Consider the following 16,091-nt stretch of genomic DNA (forward strand, 5'->3'; position numbering starts at 1 on the left):
AGCACCTGAATTCCATCTAATCTCTTCATTCTTGTAAAAATAGTAACAGCTGACCCCCTAAGTATGCAGAGAAAGGAAATGTCTGTGTTTGGTGTCAAAAGTTATTGAGCCAACCAAATACAAGAAACCTCTCCCTCCCACAGTTGCAACCACACAAACACAAACTGGTGCAGTGGAAAAAAAATCACTGGGTTAATCAGGTGTTCCAGATCCTAGTTCTGGTACAACATTTAACTAGCTGTGTAACTCTTGGCAAATTTGTTTCCTCATTTATAAAATGAGGAGATGGGGCTGGATGATTACCAAAGAGCTTTCAAGGTGTATCTGTGTTATTAAAATTTCATGGGGGAGTTATTAAGAAAAAATGTTTAATAAGACTCCTTAGGAAGGTAACAGTGAAAAAAAAGTTGAGAATCACTGGTCTAGAAGTGAGAGTATATAGCAGTATCTCATCACCTCAACTCGTTCTAAAAACAAATAAAAGCTTAGTTATTTTCACAAGTTTCTATGTAGGGGCAATCAACATTTTATTGAGCACCTCCTCTCTGTAGTGGACACAGTGATAGATGCCTACGTTGTTTCAAATCCTTTATCTTCACTATTTCACTTAATCCTCACAATTAAGTCAATCATCCTTAATTTACAGATTAGAAGACTGAGGGTCAGATATTACAAATATTTTGTGCAAGGTCTTAAGGCTAAAAGTGACTGCTCGAATAACTAGAATCCAGGTTTGACTCCAAAGCTGATTCTTTCTACTTCACTCTTTTGCTTTTCATTACTATGATATTCACCAAAGTATTACAACTGGTAGACCTGTAATTATGTAAAACACTAAACTTCAACGAGTTTAGTCATCAAAAAGACACTAGATTATTAGGTAATTTTTTTAAAGATCTATCTTAAGTAAACGGGGAGGCTTCTTTGTACAGAAAAGTAGAGTTCAGAAGCCGTGATCCCTGGGATCCGAAAAGACAAAAAACCAGAATCAGCTGAAGGAAGTACTGAGGAATTTTGACATTAGTCTTCGCATATTATGGATTTGCATTCTGGCCGACAAAGATTCTCTAGGCCACCGGTCTCCTCGCTGTTGCAGAATAAACGCTGAGGACCCGCTGCGTCAGCGAGCTGCTCAGCAGAGAAAGGCGAGACCACCAGGGCTTTAGGCCTAGAGAAGCGGAGGCTGTCCTAGGGATCTCAGAGACACCATCACTTTCACTTCCAGCAGCCTCTGGGAAGGCGGTCCCTGTGGGCCTAATCCCTCCCCGGGTCTGTTTACTCACTTTTTTGATATTGGATTTGGAGGCAGGATGAAAGTCTTTCTTGCACATGAAGTTGGCGAAGGATTTCCCCATCTTGGAACTGGAACTAGGGAAAGCAGGGGCTAGATCTGTTAGCAACGTAAACAAACTCAGCCGCCTAACCGGAACTGCGTTTCCAGCAGCAAGGGGGAACTTCCGAGATCAAAGGTGACAGCTTCCGGCAACTGATGCCTCCACTGGCCACTCCTCCCTCCGTCCACCTGTCACTTCGGGTAGCTGGGAGGCCAGGTGAGGGGCGCGCACGGGGGAGGGGCGTGCATAGTTGAGACAGAAACCCGGAAGACCCAACTGTGGCGCGGCACTGCTTGACCGAGGGGCTCCGGAGCCCAGCTGCACCGGCTGCGGTTTGAGCGCCCAGGGCCGGGGTGCGGGGTGGACCGCGGCGGCCCTTCGACCAAAGGTGCTTGAAGCTCGAGCCCATTACTTTCTGTGGACTCTGACTCGAGCTGCAAAAGCTTTTCTGCACTGTTTTTCTCATCTATGTTATGAAGATAATAATTCCGGCCCTAACCGTAGTATGCTTGCGAGAATCCAACAATATGATGTTTCTGAAAGCGCCGGCTGAACTAAGAGCGCGTGAAATAGAATGACAGACAGCTCTGCAAGAACGGAGGCCCTGTCTATTTTGTACCCAGCTGTACGGTACTGGCGCCGAAAGACGTTCAATAAATACTTATTGAATGACGAATACGCGTTAGGAGTTGGTAAAATCTCTCAAGGCTTCACCTCCTCAGTGGGCTAGGTGCAATTCTAACCAGGGGGCAAGTTTCCTTAGCTTTCCCTACGACCCCAGTTAGGCAGCTCAGGTTACTATTGCAGCTTGATGGCCCTTGGGACTCCAGGTTTTTGAGTGGACGTGGCTGCTACTGCAGCAGGTGATCCACCAACCAAGTTCTCTATCAGGGTAATGTTAAGAATAAACCTTGGCCGGGCGCGGTAGCTCACGCCTGTAATCCCAGCACTTTGGGAGGCCAAGGTGGGTGGATCACCTGAGGTCAGGAGTTCAAGACCAGCCTGGCCAACATGGTGAAACCCCGTCTCTACTAAAAACACGAAAAATTAGCCGGGTGTGGTGGCACGCGCCTGTAATCCCAGCTACTCGGGAGGTTGAGGCAGGAGAATCACTTGAACGCGGGAGGCGGAGGTTGCAGTGAGCCAAGACTGCTCCATTGCACTCCAGCCCGGGCAACAAGAGTTAAACTCCATCAAAAAAAAAAAACAAAAAACGAATAAGCCTTTATGAGAAATTTTCTCTCCTACCAAATAATAACAATAACAGCTTTCATGTGAGTATCTACTATGTTCTATGCACTGTGCAAAACACTTTACGTGTTGCCTTATTAAGTTCTCATAACAGCCCATCAAATAGTGTCTTATTTTTCTGATGAGGCAGAAGGCATAGGTAAGAGAGAGATTAAATAGTCTGCCAAAGTTATATAGTGATAGAACTAACTATAAAACACAAATAGAAGGAGATCCAGGACATAAGAGTTGAAATACAGAAAGAAAATAACAGAAGCCATCAAGACATCAGACTTCTCGTCACTGAGGAGAAGAGGAAAACCCTTAAGAGTTTCAGTCTGAAGTTTTTATTTAGTCATTTTCTTTTCTTTTTAAGGAAACATTTATTATATTTAAATTTTGTTTTTAAGTTGCTAGCATCTGCCTGTGTAAAGCCATTTTAAGGTTTTGCCATTATTAAAGGAAAGAAGGAAACTCTGTAAAACAATGTGTCTGTTCTGGCAGCAAAATAAGGACCTTTAGGTGTTCTATTATAAGTGAAGATCTAAGATTTTCCAAGTTACAACTGAAGAGGTAATCTAGATATTAAAGTATATAATTGCGATTTATAAATTAAATATGTGAACTTTCTCCTAGAAATATCAGCAATTTGGAATTATATTGACATATTTTTGTCTGAATCAATGAGTCTGTTTCAAAATTTCAGTCTCATCAGAATTATAATGTGTATTATTTCCCAGCTCAAATAAGACCCCTTCTTCCTTCCTTTGAGGAAGTACTGGGCACGTAAGATTTTTTTCCATAAGACAAGTTCCAGCAAAGAGAATATAAAGATTAGTAAGACATACTCCCAGCCCTCAAGGATCTCATTGTCCAGTAAAGGGATTTATATATACACGAATGTAATGGAATCTAGCCTTTACAACAATAGAGCTAGGTACACGGATTCCCAAATATGGAAATGGTGAAACGAAATTCAGGGAAGACTTTAGGAGAGAAAGGTCTTAGAGAATAAATGTGAACTATACAGTAGAAGAAGGTAGTTCTCATTGCCATTTTCTTACTGAGTTGTAGTACCAGATTGAGTCCCAAGTCATATTCTTACTGATTTTTAGGCTGTAGTATACAAAATTTAAAACTTTAATGAACAGCCAAGCACGGTCACTCATGCCTGTAATCCCAGGGCTTTGGGAGGCAGAAGGGGGAGGATCTCCTGAGCCCAGGAGTTCCAGGCTGCAGTAAGCCCTGATCATACAACTGCACTCCAGCCTGGGTGAAAGAGCTAGACCTTGTCTCCAAAAAATAAAAATAAAAAAATCAAAGCTTTAATGAACATCCTTAATTAGATATGGCAATAATATCCTTTGGTCATTGAGTAAAACTCTTTATTTTTATATACTTAAAAGTGTTCTTTTTATTTTAAAACATCTGTATAATTTTTAGTTAAAAAAAATGGAACCTTTTTCCTGTGACACTTTCGTGGCATTACCTCCAGCAACAGTCGATAACAGGATTATTTTTGGAAAAAATTCAGATAGACTCTATGATGAAGTACAAGAGGTGGTTTATTTTCCTGCTGTAGTTCATGATAACCTGGGAGAACGTCTTAAGGTAGGTGAAATAAATGTTTTGTTAGCAATATGCCTTTTAAAAATATCATAAAGTTATTTCTATACATAGCAATTTGGAAGAAACTGTAGAAGTTAAAATTGAGGAGTTTACATTTGAAAAATAAATGAGTCAGAAATAAACTGTGATCTTTTATTTCAGTGATTCGGAGGACGTTGAAATAACAATAATAAAATTATCCATTGTTTGAATAAATATTTGAATGCTTTCCATATGCAAGCATGTTAGATAGGGCAAGAGATTTAAAGTCAGCTGTCAAGACTCTGTTCCAGGAGCTTAGAGTCTAGTATAGCAATAAGATGTGTATGCATTATACCCCATTATAAAATAGGATGGTTTAAATGCTAAATTTAAGTAACAGTAGCATGCTGTGGCAGCGGAAGAGAATGAACATTTAATTCAGCTTGGAGTTAGCTGGAATTTGATGGACAAAAAGGATTCTGATTCTGAATTGGCTTAGGTTCTACTTGATGTAGAATAGGAAAGTCATCCCAGACTTTAGGAATGACAGTTTTATGACACATCAAAAAAGGTTTATTAGGCCCTATGTTAACACTATCAATATACATTTTATGCAGTCACTTGGTAGTATACACATTAATTAAAGGATCCTTTAAAAACTTATTTTAAAAACCCATTTAATGTGGAACTTAAAATGAGAGCTTCAAATTATGCTATTGTTGCTAATTCATACTTTTTAGATTTTATTTTATTGATATTCTAATATTAAAACATATTAAATATTAGACTTTTTTCTGTATCCTATGCCATATTTTTTTCTTTTGCTAAGACCACTTATTCATCTGTGATACCACTTCCACTTTATTTCTTCATATTTAAATATAGCCTGTCCTGTAAACCAGTGGTTCTCATTCTTTTCATTGCTGTGGGCATACCTAATGGTTGACTTCAAAATGTGATGTGAGATTCCTATGACAAAACTCTTGTATTCGAAGGCTACCATGTGAGTAATTATATCACTAATCAAGAAACACTGGATATTGAGGTTGAGAACTACTTCCTTAAGCTTCAACTCACACATCTACAAAAATGTTTCAAGATATTACAGCTAGAGACCATCTTTCTCCTGAGCTCCAATAGCACCTTGTCTTCACTTCATGACCCTAATACTTTATACTTTATTTTATCTTAATGTAGAAGTTTTAGTTTCTCAAAAGTGAGATCTTTATCTGATTCATCTTTGTAACTAACATATCTCTTGGCAGAATGTTTTATAATAGGAAATGCTCAGCAAATATTTGAATGAATAAATATTTTAGGGTTATTCTGAATATGTTTTAAGGGTAATGCCTTTATTATTGAAAATTTCAATTTACTTATATTTCCTTTACCTCTTTCATAACAGTTTTGTCTTCTGACTGATTTTTTTAAATTCTGGATTTTGATAACTTTTCTGGTTTTGTGGTTCTTGCTATGACTTTTTTTTTTTTTTTTTTACAGTGTACATATATAGAAATTGATCAAGTTCCTGAAACATATGCTGTTGTCCTGAGTCGCCCAGCGTGGTTGTGGGGGGCAGAAATGGGAGCCAATGAGCATGGAGTTTGCATTGGGAATGAAGCTGTATGGGGAAGAGAAGAAGTTTGTGATGAAGAAGCACTATTAGGAATGGACCTTGTCAGGTTATTTTTTGTTACATTTTATACTACAGACCTTGTCTAAATTTATAATTTTTGTGTAACTCTTACTTGTTTTATTTTCCTATTTTTGAGGGGGCTTTGATACTTTGCAGTTTGTGTCAAAATGGTTTAAAGTACCGGCATGCAATTTCATGACTCTCAGTTTTGTTTGGTTTTTTAAAATTAATTAATTTTTATTTTTTTGAGATGAGATCTCACTGTGTCATGCAGGCTGGAGTATAATGGTGTGATCATGGCTCACTGTGCCCTTGAATTCCTGAGCTCAAGCAATCATCCCACCTAAGTCACCCAAGTAGCTTGGATCAAAGGCACGTGCCACCACACCTGGCTAATTTTTAATTAAAAAAAATTTTTTTTTCAGAGACTAGGGTCTTGCTATGTTGCTTATACTTGTCTTGAACTCCTGGCCTCTAGCCATTCTCCTGCCTCAGCTCCTGAGTAACTGGGATTACCAGCACAGGCACCATGCCCAGCTTTCAGATATTATTATTTGGGAGAAGGGAAGAAGTAGGAAATTATAATTCATTGGAAGTACCTAACATACTTTAATCACACCTTAACTAATTCTCACAATAACCTCATGGGCTATCGTGCTCATTTTACAAATGAGATATCTGAGGTTCAGAGATAAAGTAACTTGACAGTGAATTACCAACTTCGAATTTGATAGGTTTGTTTGACTCCAGAAACTTTATTTCCATGATTCCAAACTGACTTCAGAAGGAAAAGTTTTAAAGTTAGATGTCATTTCATCTGTTAACTTGGAAGAAATTTTACTTTGAATCTAAAAAATCTCATGAGCATGAAATTATTTAAAAAAAATAATGGAAATTTATTTTAATATGAGAACTTTATATTTTTGTTTTAGACTTGGCCTTGAAAGAGCTGATACAGCTGAAAAAGCCCTCAATGTCATTGTTGACTTACTAGAAAAATATGGCCAGGGTGGAAATTGCACAGAGGGTAGAATGGTATTTAGCTATCACAACAGTTTCCTGATAGCTGATAGGAATGAAGCCTGGATTCTGGAGACTGCAGGGAAGTACTGGGCAGCAGAAAAAGTACAAGGTATGGACAACTTTTTGTGATTTAACTTGTTTTTGCAATTAATAAAATACACCCTTACCTATAGATATTGCATTTAATTGCTTCCAAGATTAATAATCTAGTGTAATGAAGGGTTGAACTGCAAGGGAAATTTAAAAATTTGAAAGAACAGTGAAAAAGTGCCATAAAGAGCTTTCTTGAAAAAGATAAAAAGGTAGCATTACCTCTGGGAATATGAATTTCATATAACCTGTATATACTTTCTTTGCTGCAGCTCTTGGCCATTTCATAGTACTTTTTCACTTTAATAATCCCTTACAATTTCTTCCCCTTTAAACTTTGGGCTGCACTCCAAAATCTTATGTGTAAGTGTGGAGGTGAGGAAATGGGAGTGGGGTTAGAGACAGGTGTTTGTGAGTTGGTGGTTGAAAAAGCTGTGTTGATACAATAGTAAAACACAAAAGTTTGATATCTTTGAATAAAACAACATTATTTGATTGTTTTAGAATGCTTTGATTTTTCATTCTCATTTTCTTTGTGATCATATATTCCTCTAATTTTTCAAGTGAGGAAAGCCAGAGATGTAAAGTGATTTAAGGTGGTAAATGAAAGACCTAGAATTTAAATCTTTTCATCTTGAATCTCATCACTAGAACATAGCCTTATGTTTAAGCATAATCATGTCCTTCTCGGGTATTTAACTTCTGGACTCCTAGTTTACTAGAGAGATAAGATACACATGTGAAAATGTTAAATGGTGCACGAATGATACAGACACATAGATGATTTGAACATTTAGAGAACAGAAAGGTTATTATCGTGAGCTAGAGGAGTTCAGAAAGGCTTCATGAAGGTAGCCTTGAACTTTGGAGGATTTGGGTGTTATTTTTCAAAACAGGTCATTACCAGTTGTTTTGACGGACATTTTGTTTTATGTTTTGCATATATGTTTATTAATATATAACATTGTAGTTAGACTTTTTCTTTTTGTGATAATTGGCTTGATAATACCATTGAGCACTTTTATTTTATTAAATGTACTACGTGCAAGAGAGAACTGAATAAATACATTTTGTTGAAAAAGTGCCACCTGGCCATCTAAAATGAACACCTTCATTGGGTCTCATTGTCTAGCTGTAGATTAATTTTGCCAATTGTTTTCTCTTTCTATTACTAACTAAGCCCAAGAACTAAATTGTTAAATGATAGGGAATTATTTATTAGATGGAAAATTATTGGCTGGGCATGGTGGCTCATGCCTATAATCCCAGCACTTTGAGAGGCTGAGGCAGGAGGATCACTTCAGCCCAGGAGTGTGAGACCAGCTTGGGCAACACAGTGAGACCTCAATTCTACAAAAAATACGAAAATTAGCTGAGTGTGGTGGTGTGTACCTATAGTTCCAGCTACTCAAGAGGCTGAGGTGGGGAGGATAGCTTGAACCCAGGAGGTCGAGGCTGCAGTGAGCTATTATTATGCCACTGTACTCTAGCCTGGGCGAGAGAGTGAGACCCTGTTGAAAGAAAAGAAAAGAGGGAAGGAGAAGGGGAAAGAAAGAAAAGAAAATTCTTCCATCTGATTCTTTCATGACTTGGATCTGGTTTTTGTAATGAGGGTATCCCAAGTATGACCTCATTAGAGTAATTTCATTGATTTTTACTTGACAGACTGTCATTTCAGCTGTTTTTAAAACATTATCGATTTTTGTTTATCGTGATCTGTTTCATTTAGTATAATCTCTAAGACAGGCTTTTATTTTTTCTATTTTGTATTTTAGTTGAAAACTTTGTTTATAGCTTCATGCCATAATATTTTTGGAAGTCATATATTTTGGTTCTAGACTTATTTATAATTTAAAAAAATTTATAGAAAGGACTACTATCTGGAATATATAAAGAGCAGTCAAAACTCAGTAGTAAAAAAAAAAAAATCCAGTTAGAAAATAGGCAAAAGATATGAAGAGTCATTTCACCCAAAGGGATATACAGATTTGAAATAAGCATGAAATGATGTTCAACATTATTAGCCATTAGGGAAATGCAAAACCCCAAAGAGATTTTACTACACCTCTATCACAGTGACTGAAATAAAGGTAAGAATGTACAGCTAGCCACTCTAGAAAATAGTTTGTCAGTTAAAAAAAAAAAACTAAACATGCAACTACCATACAACTTAGCAACTGTACTCCTGTGCATTTATCCCAGAGAAATAAAAACTTACATACATTTACACAAGAACCTGTACGCAAGTATAGCAGCTTTTTCCATGATGACCAAAAACTAGGAACAATTCAGATATCCTTTACCTTGTGAATAAGTAAGCAAGTTATCATACATTCATACCATGGAATATTACTCACCAATAAAAATAATAAACTATTGATATATACAATAACATAGATGAATCTTTAGCGAATTGTGCTCAGTAAAACCAAAAGCTTACATATTATTCCATTTATATAACATTCTTGAAATTACAGTTATAGAAATGGAGAACAGAATAGCTGTTACCTGAGGTTAATGAAGGATTTGGGGTGGGAGATAAGTAGGTGTGGCTATAAAAGGGCAACATGAGGGATCCTTGTGGTGATGGAAGTATTCTTTATCTTGACTATAGCAATACCAATATTCTGGTTGTGATATTATACTACAGTTTGGCAAGATGTTACCATTGGGGGAAACTGGGTAAAGGGTACACAGTATCTCTCAGTATTATTTTTTTATAACTGCATGTGAATCTATAATTATCTTAAAATCAGTTTAATTTTAAAAGTAATTCATTTATCTTTTTGAATATGTAATAGATGCCCATGGCACAAAATTTAGAAGTCTATATTTATGTTTACATAGTGATTAGGAATCATGATATACAGATACATGCTTTATGTTAAATATGACTTTTCTTCTCCTTTCTCCTCTTCTTCTTTGAAAATAGAGGGAGTTCGTAATATTTCTAATCAACTTTCCATAACAACCAAGATTGCCCGGGAACACCCAGACATGAGAAACTATGCTAAGCGGAAAGGTTGGTGGGATGGTAAAAAGGAGTTTGATTTTGCTGCAGCATATTCCTATCTTGACACAGCCAAGATGATGACTTCATCAGGCAGATACTGTGAGGGCTACAAGCTTCTAAATAAGCACAAAGGTAATTTTATCATATAAATAATATTAGGATGACAAACTACATTTTGTGTAGATGTAATATGGGAATGATAACATCTGTTTTGGGGAATTATAATTAGTAAAAATATTGTTCTATTAAAATGAAAAATATTTATTATAAACCTATTTTTTTTTTATTATACTTTAAGTTTTAGGGTACATGTGCACATTGTGCAGGTTAGTTACATATGTATACATGTGCCATGCTGGTGCACTGCACCCACTAACTCGTCATCTAGCATTAGGTATATCTCCCAATGCTATCCCTCCCCCCTCCCCCCACCCCACCACAGTCCCCAGAGTGTGATATTCCCCTTCCTGTGTCCATGTGATCTCATTGTTCAATTCCCACCTATGAGTGAGAATATGCGGTGTTTGGTTTTTTGTTCTTGCGATAGTTTACTGAGAATGATGATTTCCAATTTCATCCATGTCCCTACAAAGGACACGAACTCATCATTTTTTATGGCTGCATAGTATTCCATGGTGTATATGTGCCACATTTTCTTAATCCAGTCTATCATTGTTGGACATTTGGGTTGGTTCCAAGTCTTTGCTATTGTGAATAATGCCGCAATAAACATACCTGTGCATGTGTCTTTATAGCAGCATGATTTATAGTCATTTGGGTATATACCCAGTAATGGGATGGCTGGGTCAAATGGTATTTCTAGTTCTAGATCCCTGAGGAATTGCCACACTGACTTCCACAATGGTTGAACTAGTTTACAGTCCCACCAACAGTGTAAAAGTGTTCCTATTTCTCCACATCCTCTCCAGCACCTGTTGTTTCCTGACTTTTTAATGATTGCCATTCTAACTGGTGTGAGATGGTATCTCATAGTGGTTTTGATTTGCATTTCTCTGATGGCCAGTGATGATGAGCATTTTTTCATGTGTTTTTTGGCTGCATAAATGTCTTCTTTTGAGAAGTGTCTGTTCATGTCCTTCGCCCACTTTTTGATGGGGTTGTTTGTTTTTTTCTTGTACATTTGTTTGAGTTCATTGTAGATTCTGGATATTAGCCCTTTGTCAGATGAGTAGGTTGCGAAAATTTTCTCCCATTTTGTAGGTTGCCTGTTCACTCTGATGGTAGTTTCTTTTGCTGTGCAGAAGCTCTTTAGTTTAATTAGATCCCATTTGTCAATTTTGTCTTTTGTTGCCATTGCTTTTGGTGTTTTAGACATGAAGTCCTTGCCCATGCCTATGTCCTGAATGGTAATGCCTAGGTTTTCTTCTAGGGTTTTTATGGTTTTAGGTCTAAAGTTTAAGTCTTTAATCCATCTTGAATTGATTTTTGTATAAGGTGTAAGGGAGGGATCCAGTTTCAGCTTCCTACATATGGCTAGCCAGTTTTCCCAGCACCATTTATTAAATAGGGAATCCTTTCCCCATTGCTTGTTTTTCTCAGGTTTGTCAAAGATCAGATAGTTGTAGTTATGTGGTGTTATTTCTGAGGGCTCTGTTCTGTTCCATTGATCTATATCTCTGTTTTGGTACCAGTACCATGCTGTTTTGGTTACTGTAGCCTTGTAGTATAGTTTGAAGTCAGGTAGTGTGATTCCTCCAGCTTTGTTCTTTTGGCTTAGGATTGACTTGGCGATGCGGGCTCTTTTTTGGTTCCATATGAACTTTAAAGTAGTTTTTTCCAATTCTGTGAAGAAAGTCATTGGTAGCTTGATGGGGATGGCATTGAATCTGTAAATTACCTTGGGCAGTATGGCCATTTTCACAATATTGATTCTTCCTACCCATAAGCATGGAATGTTCTTCCATTTGTTTGTATCCTCTTTTATTTCTTTGAGCAGTGGTTTGTAGTTCTCCTTGAAGAGGTCCTTCACATCCCTTGTAAGTTGGATTCCTAGGTATTTTATTCTCTTTGAAGCAATTGTGAATGGGAGTTCACTCATGATTTGGCTCTCTGTTTGTCTGTTATTGGTGTATAGGAATGCTTGTGATTTGTGCACATTGATTTTGTATCCTGAGACTTTGCTGAAGTTGCTTATCAGCTTAAGGAGATTTTGGGCTGAGACAATGGGGTTTTCTAGATATACAATCATGTCGTCTGCAAACAGGGACAATTTGACTTCCTCTTTTCCTAATTGAATACCCTTTATTTCCTTCTCCTGCCTAATTGCCCTGGCCAGAACTTCCAACACTATGTTGAATAGGAGTGGTCAGAGAGGGCATCCCTGTCTTGTGCCAGTTTTCAAAGGAAATGCTTCCAGTTTTTGCCCATTCAGTATGATATTGGCTGTGGGTTTGTCAGAGATAGCTCTTATCATTTTGAAATATGTCCCATCAATACCTAATTTATTGAGAGGTTTTAGCATGAAGGGTTGTTGAATTTTGTCAAAGGCTTTTTCTGCCTCTATTGAGATAATCATGTGGTTTTTGTCTTTGGCTCTGTTTATATGCTGGATTACATTTATTGATTTGCGTATATTGAACCAGCCTTGCATCCCAGGGATGAAGCCCACTTGATCATGGTGGATAAGCTTTTTGATGTGCTGCTGGATTTGGTTTGACAGTATTTTATTGAGGATTTTTGCATCAATGTTCATCAAGGATATTGGTCTAAAATTCTCTTTTTTGGTTGTGTCTCTGCCCAGCTTTGGTATCAGAATGATGCTGGCCTCATAAAATGAGTTAGGGAGGATTCCCTCTTTTTCTATTGATTGGAATAGTTTCAGAAGGAATGGTACCAGTTCCTCCTTGTACCTCTGGTAGAATTCGGCTGTGAATCCATCTGGTCCTGGACTCTTTTTGGTTGGTAAACTATTGATTATTGCCACAATTTCAGCTCCTGTTATTGGTCTATTCAGAGATTCAACTTCTTCCTAGTTTAGTCTTGGGAGAGTGTATGTGTCGAGGAATTTATCCATTTCTTCTAGATTTTCTAGTTTATTTGCGTAGAGGTGTTTGTAGTATTCTCTGATGGTAGTTTGTATTTCTGTGGGATCGGTGGTGATATCCCCTTTATCATTTTTTATTGTGTCTATTTGATTCTTCTCTCTTTTTTTCTTTATTAGTCTTGCTAGCGGTCTATCAATTTTGTTGATCCTTTCAAAAAACCAGCTCCTGGATTCATTGATTTTTTGAAGGGTTTTTTGTGTCTCTATTTCCTTCAGTTCTGCTCTGATTTTAGTTATTTCTTGCCTTCTGCTAGCTTTTGAATGTGTTTGCTCTTGCTTTTCTAGTTCTTTTAATTGTGATGTTAGGGTGTCAATTTTGGATCTTTCCTGCTTTCTCTTGTGGGCATTTAGTGCTATAAATTTCCCTCTACACACTGCTTTGAATGCGTCCCAGAGATTCTGGTATGTTGTGTCTTTCTTCTCGTTGGTTTCAAAGAACATCTTTATTTCTGCCTTCATTTCGTTATGTACCCAGTAGTCATTCAGGAGCAGGTTGTTCAGTTTCCATGTAGTTGAGCGGCTTTGAGTGGGATTCTTAATCCTGAGTTCTAGTTTGATTGCACTGTGGTCTGAGAGATAGTTTGTTATAATTTCTGTTCTTTTACATTTGCTGAGGAGAGCTTTACTTCCAAGTATGTGGTCAATTTTGGAATAGGTGTGGTGTGGTGCTGAAAAAAATGTATATTCTGTTGATTTGGGGTGGAGAGTTCTGTAGATGTCTATTAGGTCCGCTTGGTGCAGAGCTGAGTTCAATTCCTGGGTATCCTTGTTGACTTTCTGTCTCATTGATCTGTCTAATGTTGACAGTGGGGTGTTAAAGTCTCCCATTATTAATGTGTGGGAGTCTAAGTCTCTTTGTAGGTCACTCAGGACTTGCTTTATGAATCTGGGTGCTCCTGTATTGGGTGCATATATATTTAGGATAGTTAGCTCTTCTTGTTGAATTGATCCCTTTACCATTATGTAATGGCCTTCTTTGTCTCTTTTGATCTTTGTTGGTTTAAAGTCTGTTTTATCAGAGACTAGGATTGCAACCCCTGCCTTTTTTTGTTTTCCATTTGCTTGGTAGATCTTCCTCCATCCTTTTATTTTGAGCCTATGTGTGTCTCTGCACGTGAGATGGGTTTCCTGAATACAGCACACTGATGGATCTTGACTCTATCCAATTTGCCAGTCTGTGTCTTTTAATTGGAGAATTTAGTCCATTTATATTTAAAGTTAATATTGTTATGTGTGAATTTGATCCTGTCATTATGATGATAGCTGGTGATTTTGCTCGTTAGTTGATGCAGTTTCTTCCTAGTCTCGGTGGTCTTTACATTTTGGCATGATTTTGCAGCGGCTGGTACCGGTTGTTCCTTTCCATGTTTAGCGCTTCCTTCAGGAGCTCTTTTAGGGCAGGCCTGGTGGTGACAAAATCGGTCAGCATTTGCTTGTCTGTAAAGTATTTTATTTCTCCTTCACTTATGAAGCTTAGTTTGGCTGGATATGAAATTCTGGGTTGAAAATTCTTTTGTTTAAGAATGTTGAATATTGGCCCCCACTCTCTTCTGGCTTGTAGGGTTTCTGCCGAGAGATCTGCTGTTAGTCTGATGGGCTTCCCTTTGAGGGTAACCCGACCTTTCTCTCTGGCTGCCCTTAACATTTTTTCCTTCATTTCAACTTTGGTGAATCTGACAATTATGTGTCTTGGAGTTGCTCTTCTCGAGGAGTATCTTTGTGGCGTTCTCTGTATTTCCTGAATCTGAACGTTGGCCTGCCTTGCTAGATTGGGGAAGTTCTCCTGGATAATATCCTGCAGAGTGTTTTCCAACTTGGTTCCATTCTCCCCATCACTTTCAGGTACACCAATCAGATGTAGATTTGGTCTTTTCACATAGTCCCATATTTCTTGGAGGCTTTGCTCATTTCTTTTTATTCTTTTTTCTCTAAACTTCCCTTCTCGCTTCATTTCATTCATTTCATCTTCCATTGCTGATACCCTTTCTTCCAGTTGATCGCGTCGGCTCCTGAGGCTTCTGCATTCTTCACGTAGTTCTCGAGCCTTGGTTTTCAGCTCCATCAGCTCCTTTACGCACTTCTCTGTATTGGTTATTCTAGTTATACATTCTTCTAAATTTTTTTCAAAGTTTTTAACTTCTTTGCCTTTGGTTTGAATGTCCTCCCGTAGCTCAGAGTAATTTGATCGTCTGAAGCCTTCTTCTCTCAGCTCGTCAAAGTCATTCTCCATCCAGCTTTGTTCTGTTGCTGGTGAGGAACTGCGTTCCTTTGGAGGAGGAGAGACGCTCTGCGTTTTAGAGTTTCCAGTTTTTCTGTTCTGTTTTTTCCCCATCTTTGTGGTTTTATCTACTTTTGGTCTTTGATGATGGTGATGTACAGATGGGTTTTCGGTGTGGATGTCCTTTCTGTTTGTTAGTTTTCCTTCTAACAGACAGGACCCTCAGCTGCAGGTCTGTTGGAATACCCTGCCGTGTGAGGTGTCAGTGTGCCCCTGCTGGGAGGTGCCTCCCAGTTAGGCTGCTCGGGGGTCAGGGGTCAGGGACCCACTTGAGCAGGCAGTCTGCCGGTTCTCAGATCTCCAGCTGCGTGCTGGGAGAACCACTGCTCTCTTCAAAGCTGTCAGACAGGGACATTTAAGTCTGTAGAGGTTACTGCTGTCTTTTTGTTTGTCTGTGCCCTGCCCCCAGAGGTGGAGCCTACAGAGGCAGGCAGGCCTCCTTGAGCTGTGGTGGGCTCCACCCAGTTCGAGCTTCCCGGCTGCTTTGTTTACCTAAGCAAGCCTGGGCAATGGCGGGTGCCCCTCCCCCAGCCTCGCTGCCGCCTTGCAGTTTGATCTCAGACCGCTGTGCTAGCAATCAGCGAGATTCCGTGGGCGTAGGACCCTCCGAGCCAGGTGTGGGATATAGTCTCGTGGTGCGCCGTTTTTTAAGCCGGTCTGAAAAGCGCAATATTCGGGTGGGAGTGACCCGATTTTCCAGGTGCGTCCGTCACCCCTTTCTTTGACTCGGAAAGGGAACTCCCTGACCCCTTGCGCTTCCCAGGTGAGGCAATGCCTCGCCCTGCTTCGGCTCGCGCACGGTGCGCGCTCCCACTGGCCTGCGCCCACTGTCT

General features: G+C 38.7%; 2 protein-coding genes across 12 annotated transcripts in view, besides 3 other annotated features; one reads left to right on the forward strand and one right to left on the reverse strand.

The window, feature by feature from the left end:
• CIRSR (corepressor of RBPJ and splicing regulator) overlaps window positions 1-1,445 on the reverse strand; it is a 47,691-nt gene extending 46,246 nt beyond the window's left edge. The window contains exon 1 of the mRNA NM_004882.4: window positions 1,284-1,445. Within this exon, the coding sequence (NP_004873.3) occupies window positions 1,284-1,355 (72 nt within the window). The 5' untranslated portion in view covers window positions 1,356-1,445. The remainder of the gene's footprint in view (window positions 1-1,283) is intronic.
• Window positions 1,344-1,393: an enhancer, noted in NCBI's record as "active region_16772". NCBI's record gives its function as "activates an Ori minimal core promoter by ATAC-STARR-seq in GM12878 lymphoblastoid cells {active_cell/tissue: GM12878}" and the evidence as "EXISTENCE:reporter gene assay evidence [ECO:0000049][PMID:35858748]".
• The window catches only part of SCRN3 (secernin 3), a 34,342-nt gene continuing 19,713 nt past the window's right edge, over window positions 1,463-16,091 (forward strand). The window contains exons 1-6 of one of the 11 annotated variants that reach the window (NM_001412208.1): window positions 1,463-2,026; window positions 3,069-3,137; window positions 4,008-4,175; window positions 5,655-5,836; window positions 6,723-6,922; window positions 9,836-10,048. In NM_001412208.1, coding sequence (NP_001399137.1) covers window positions 4,017-4,175; window positions 5,655-5,836; window positions 6,723-6,922; window positions 9,836-10,048 — 754 coding nt within the window. In that variant the 5' untranslated portion in view covers window positions 1,463-2,026; window positions 3,069-3,137; window positions 4,008-4,016. Of the gene's footprint in view, window positions 2,609-3,068; window positions 3,138-4,007; window positions 4,176-5,654; window positions 5,837-6,722; window positions 6,923-9,835; window positions 10,049-16,091 lie in introns of all 11 variants that reach the window. The other 10 variants (NM_001412206.1, NM_001412202.1, NM_001412204.1 and 7 more) reach the window with 10 other exon arrangements.
• Window positions 1,891-2,391: an enhancer, noted in NCBI's record as "H3K4me1 hESC enhancer chr2:175260886-175261386 (GRCh37/hg19 assembly coordinates)". NCBI's record gives its function as "activates a minimal SCP1, AML or CMV promoter by ChIP-STARR-seq in naive H9 embryonic stem cells {active_cell/tissue: H9 hESC(naive)}" and the evidence as "EXISTENCE:reporter gene assay evidence [ECO:0000049][PMID:30033119]".
• Window positions 15,342-15,943: an enhancer, noted in NCBI's record as "NANOG-H3K27ac-H3K4me1 hESC enhancer chr2:175274337-175274938 (GRCh37/hg19 assembly coordinates)". NCBI's record gives its function as "activates a minimal SCP1, AML or CMV promoter by ChIP-STARR-seq in naive and primed H9 embryonic stem cells {active_cell/tissue: H9 hESC(naive and primed)}" and the evidence as "EXISTENCE:reporter gene assay evidence [ECO:0000049][PMID:30033119]".

This window comes from Homo sapiens, chromosome 2 (genome assembly GCF_000001405.40).
Source record: "Homo sapiens chromosome 2, GRCh38.p14 Primary Assembly".
Classification (NCBI taxonomy): Eukaryota; Metazoa; Chordata; class Mammalia; order Primates; family Hominidae; genus Homo; species Homo sapiens.